The sequence below is a fragment of the Homo sapiens genome, chromosome 10 (genome assembly GCF_000001405.40).
Source record: "Homo sapiens chromosome 10, GRCh38.p14 Primary Assembly".
NCBI lineage: Eukaryota > Metazoa > Chordata > Mammalia > Primates > Hominidae > Homo > Homo sapiens.
This window is the reverse complement of record NC_000010.11, coordinates 50,263,313-50,269,312: the sequence shown is the minus strand read 5'-3', so window position 1 is coordinate 50,269,312 and position 6,000 is coordinate 50,263,313. Positions and strand designations below refer to the sequence as shown.

Genomic DNA, 6,000 nt, shown 5'->3' with positions numbered 1-6,000 from the left:
AGAGGTCCTTCACATCCCTTGTAAGTTGGATTCCTAGGTATTTTATTCTCTTTGAAGCAATTGTGAATGGAAGTTCACTCATGATTTGGCTCTCTGTTTGTCTGTTATTGGTGTATAAGAATGCTTGTGATTTTTGCACATTGATTTTGTATCCTGAGACTTTGCTGAAGTTGCCTATCAGCTTAAGGAGATTTTGGGCTGAGATGATGGGGTTTTCTAGGTATACAATCATGTCATCTGCAAACAGGGACAATTTGACTTCCTCTTTTCCTAATTGAATACCCTTTATTTCCTTCTCCTGCCTGATTGCCCTGGCCGGAACTTCCAACACTATGTTGAATAGGAGTGGTGAGAGTGGACATCCCTATCTTGTGCCAGTTTTCAAAGGGAATGCTTCCAGTTTTTGCCCATTCATTATGATATTAGCTGTGGGTTTGTCATAGATAGCTCTTATTATTTTGAGATACATCCCATCAATACCTAATTTATTGAGAGTTTTTAGCATGAAGGGTTGTTGAATTTTGTCAAAGGCCTTTTCTGCATCTATTGAGATAATCACGTGGTTTTTGTCTTTGGTTCTGTTTATATGCTGGATTACATTTATTGATTTGCATATGTTGAACCAGCCTTGCATCCTAGGGATGAAGCTCACTTGATCATGGTGCATAAGCTTTTTGATGTGCTGCTGGATTCGGTTTGCCAATATTTTATTGAGGATTTTTGCATCGATTTTCATCAGGGATATTGGTCTGAAATTCTCTTTTTTTGTTATGTTGCTGCTAGGCTTTGGTATCAGGATGATGCTGGCCTCATAAAATGAGTTAGGGAGGATTCCCTCTTTTTCTATTGATTGGAATAGTTTCAGAAGGAATGGTACCAGCTCCTCCTTATACCTCTGGTAGAATTTGGCTATGAATCCATCCGGTCCTGGACTTTTTTTGGTTGGTAAGCTATTAATTATTGCCTCAATTTCAGAGCCTGTTATTGGTCTATTCGGAGATTCAACTTCTTCCTGGTTTAGTCTTGGGAGGGTGTATGTGTCGAGGAATTTATCCATTTCTTTTAGACTTTCTAGTTTATTTGTATAGAGGTGTTTACAGTATTCTCTGATGGTAGTTTGTATTTCTGTGGGATCAGTGGTGATATCCGTTTTATCATTTTTTATTGCGTCTATTTGATTATTCTCTCTTTTCTTCTTTATTAGTCTTTCTAGTGGTCTATCAATTTTGCTGATCTTTTCAAAAAACCAGCTCCTGGATTCATTGATTTTTTGAAGGGTATTTTGTGTCTCTATTTCCTTCAGTTCTGCTCTGATCTTAGTTATTTCTTGCCTTCTGCTAGCTTTTGAATGTATTTGCTCTTGCTTCTCTAGTTCTTTTAATTGTGATGTTAGGGTGTCAATTTTAGATCTTTCCTGCTTTCTCTTGTGGGCATTTAGTGCTATAAATTTCTCTCTACACACTTCTTTGAATGTGTCCCAGAGATTCTGGTATGTTGTGTCTTTGTTCTCGTTGGTTTCAAAGAACATCTTTATTTCTGCCTTCATTTCGTTTTGTACCCAGTAGTCATTCAGGAGCAGGTTGTTCAGTTTCCATGTAGTTGAGCAGTTTTGAGTGAGTTTCTTAATCCTGAGTTCTAGTTTGATTGCACTGTGGTCTGAGTGACAGTTTGTTATAATTTCTGTTCTTTTACATTTGCTGAGGAGTGCTTTACTTCCAACTATGTGGTCAATTTTGGAATAGGTGTGGTGTGGTGCTGAAAAGAATGTATATTCTGTTGATTTGGGATGGAGAGGTCTGTAGATATCTATTAGGTCTGCTTGGTGCAGAGCTGAGTTCAGTTCCTGGATATGCTTGTTAACTTTCTGTCTCGTGGATCTGTGTAATGTTGATAGTGGGGTGTTAAAACATCCCATTATTATTGTGTGGGAGTCTAAGTCTCTTTGTAGGTCTCTAAGGACTTGCTTTTTTTTTTTTTAACTCATATTTGTTTTTATTTATAGGTAACTACCACATGAATTATAAAGACAACAAAGGATGTCAGAATGAACATGGATAGGTGTATGCATACTACGGCTAAGGAGAAACAATGTTCCTACATATTATGGGTAGTGAGAACATTATCTGTATAACAGGGAACTGTGATTATTTAAAAATATGCAGAACTTATTTCATCTGTGCTTTAGAAATAACTGTATACAGTGTTATAAGTTGAAAAGAACTCAAAATAACTAATACCAAATATACACCTATGTATTAGAATTCAAAAAAGCTGCTTTCTGTGAAGTCAATCAGCTATATTAAAAAATGACACAAATCCAAAACAAGATGCATGTTATATATAAAGGGACATTGTAAGTTTCCTTGCTGCATTAAACCCATGGTTTAATCCATGAAATTTCCTTTTAATTATCATTTAGATAGAAGCATGCAAATAGTCTCAGGATCTACTTAAGAACCTTTCCCAAATCCACTAGTTACACTCCCCTTTTCAGGAACTAAGCAGGTATTCGGGTAGCTGCTTCCTCCTCTGCATCAGCTCGGTTTGCATTAATTTCTGCAAGTGTTCAGCCAAACCATGCCCATTCATCATTGCGGGGAACAGCAATCTGCTCTCCCACATCGTATATAGCAATCTGTCCTTCAGAATCACCCACAGCAATCTCTCTGCCAGAATGGGTCCATCTCACATGATTAAGAGCAGGATTACCCTCCACAGAAATGCTGGCAGTTGGTACCTCTGTGTCATTATTGAGATTCCACAAATCCAATCTCCCCATGCCATCCACACAGGCAAACAGGGCTGGGTGGGTAGGTGACCACATAACATCATAAACATAGTCTGCATTGTCTTCAAATGAATACAAAGGCTTGTTATTCTTAGTTGTCCAAAGCTTTACTGTCCAGTCAAATGATGAAGTGACATAAAGATGTGAGAAGTCTACTGCTCCAACAGCTGCATGACAATGGATGCCAGTGATTGGTCCTTGATGCCCCTCAAACATCTCACTGATTCCAGCTTTGCTGCCATGGTGGCATGCTGTGTACACAGAACCTTCTTCACTCCCAACAACAAAGTTGTTGACATCTCCAACAGGGAAGGACATAGATGTCACAGCTACTGCTTTTGACTGTTTATGAACCAACTCCATGCTATCCTGTGGATGGGAAAGCATGTCCAGACTCCATGAACAAATTTTTCCATCAGTAGAGATGCTAATCAGATTGTGAGCATTTTGTGTTCCAACAACGTTTACACAATATACAGGGTGTGTGTGTGCAGCTGCTGACAGTGGAGTTCTTTGCACTGGAGTTCTTTTATTGCTACGGTTATCCCAAAGCACAGTTTGGCCTGAATATGTACCACCAACAACAAGATTTGGATGAAATTTTGCAAATGTGGCAGACATCACAGCTGACTGGCAGTGAAACACATACTCTGGGGTAGTTTTTTTGTATTTCATATTCCATACAAGGGCCACACCATCAGGCTCATGAGGGGCATCTTCATTGTTGTTATAGGAAGCCACGAGTAACTCCGGATACTGAGATGACCAATCCAAACAACTAACAACCCGATGCTTTGACCAACGTTCGTCAAAAAATTGTCAATTTAATGACAGTTTAGCACCTGCTTGAATCTCTCCTTCTTTGTCTTCCAAATCTCTCCCACTATAGTGAAAGAAGATGTTAATCTGCTCAGAAAGAGCTCTTTCTACAATTCTTGTAGAATGGTCAAAGAAACTTAAAAATTCCTCAGAGTGCAAGATTTGTTGCTTTTCTTCTTCAGTCAGCTCATGGGGGGAGCTTTACTATCATTTTCCTCATCTTTCTTTAAAGTTTTCTCTTCTTCAGGTTCAATAGGTAGTTTAGGAGCCACTACATCATCATCTTCCTCTTCATCTTTTTTGGGTTGAGCCATAACTGGAGTCTGAGTTTCCTTTGTATACGTGACAATTTCTCGAGGAGGAAAGTCGACTTGCGTGATTTTAGCCATTCCAAGTTTAATAGGTCCTCGTCTAGATCCCACGGCGCCATCTCCAGAGTCTTGGCTTCCAGCTTCACTTGGAGTGCTCACAGATTTGGAGGATGGAGACATAGGAGGAGGGACAATGGGGGATTCTGGAGTTAGCCCCATGCTTTGGAGCAATGCTTCAGCTTCTCTTCTTCTTTTTTCAAGATCTGATTCTTCTTGCACAGGAGCAACAGCTTCCTTCTTCTGATCTGTTTCTTTTTTTTTCCTTTCTTCTTCTTTTCTCTTCTTTTCCTCTCTGATTTGGGCCAGTTGCTGCTTCTTACGTTCCAACTCAGCCTTTAATTCACTTTTGTCTGACATGTTTGTGACCTGTCAGGTGACTGGATGGGGAAGAGTCCTCCCGCCTGCAACTTTCCGGTAACGTCCCTCGGCTAAGCCCCCAACACCAACCAGGACTTGCTTTATGAATCTAGGTGCTGCTGTATTGGGTGCATATATATTTAGGATAGTTAGCTCTTCTTGTTTAATTGATCCCTTTACCATTATGTAATGGCCTTCTTTGTCTCTTTTGATCTGTGTTGGTTTAAAGTCTGTTTTATCAGAGACTAGGATTGCAACCCCTGCCTTTTTTTGTTTTCCATTTGCTTGGTAGATCTTCCTCCATCCATTTATTTTGAGCCTATGTGTGTCTCTGCATGTGCAATGCGTTTCCTGAATACAGCACACTGATGGGTCTTGACTCTTTATCCAATTTGCCAGTCTGTGTCTTAATTGGAGCACTTAGCCCATTCACATTTAAGGTTAATATTGCTATGTGTGAATTTGATCCTGTCATTATGATATTAGCTGGTAATTTTGCTCATTAGTTGATGCAGTTTCTTCCTAGCCTGGATGGTCTTTACAATTTGGCATGTTTTTGCAGTGGCTGGTAGCGGTTGTTCCTTTCCATGTTTAGTGCTTCCTTCAGGAGCTCTTTCAGGGCAGGCCTGGTGGTGACAAAATCTCTCAGCATTTGCTTGTCTGTAAAGTATTTTATTTCTCCTTCACTTATGAAGCTTAGTTTGGCTGGATATGAAGTTCTGGGTTGAAAATTCTTTTCTTTAGGAATGTTGAATATTGGCCCCCACTCTCTTCTGGCTTGTAGAGTTTCTGCCAAAAGATCAGCTGTTAGTCTGATGGGCTTCCCTTTGTGGGTAACCCGACCTTTCTCTCTGGCTGCCATTAACATTTTTTCCTTCATTTCAACTTTGGTGAATCTGACAATTATTTGTCTTGGAGTTGCCGTTCTCAAGGAGTATCTTTGTGGCATTCTCTGTATTTCCTGAATTTGAATGTTGGCCTGCCTTGCTAGATTGGGGAAGTTCTCCTGGATAATATCCTGCAGAGTGTTTTCCAACTTGGTTCCCTTCTCCCCGTCACTTTCAGGTACACCAATCAGATGTAGGTTTGGTCTTTTCACATAGTCCCTTATTTCTTGGAGGCTTTGTTTGTTTCTTTTTATTCTTTTTTCTCTAAGCTTCTCTTCTCGCTTCATTTCATTCATTTGATCTTCCATCACTGATACCCTTTCTTCCAGTTGATTGCATCAGTTACTGAGGCTTGTGCATTCATCACATAGTTCTCGTGCCATGGTTTTCAGCTCCATTGGGTCCTTTAAGGACTTCTCTGCATTGGTTATTCTAGTTAGCCATTCGTCTAATTTTTTTTCAAGGTTTTTAACTTCTTTGCCATGGGTTCGAACTTCCTCCATTAGCTCGGAGTAGTTTGATCGTCTGAAGCCTTCTTCTCTCAGCTCGTCAAAGTCATTCTCCATCCAGCTTTGTTCCATTGCTGCTGAGGAGCTGCATTCCTTTGGAGGAGGAGAGGCGCTCTGCTTTTTAGAGTTTCCAGTTTTTCTGCTCTGTTTTTTCCCCATCTTTGTGGTTTTATCTACCTTTGGTCTTTGATGATGGTGATGTACAGATGGAGTTTTGTGTGGATGTCCTTTCTGTTTGTTAGTTTCCCTTCTAACAGTCAGGACCCTCA

General features: G+C 40.0%; 1 pseudogene; it reads right to left on the bottom strand.

The window, feature by feature from the left end:
* Window positions 1-2,200: 2,200 nt before the first annotated feature.
* Window positions 2,201-4,425, bottom strand: DYNC1I2P1 (dynein cytoplasmic 1 intermediate chain 2 pseudogene 1; annotated as a pseudogene).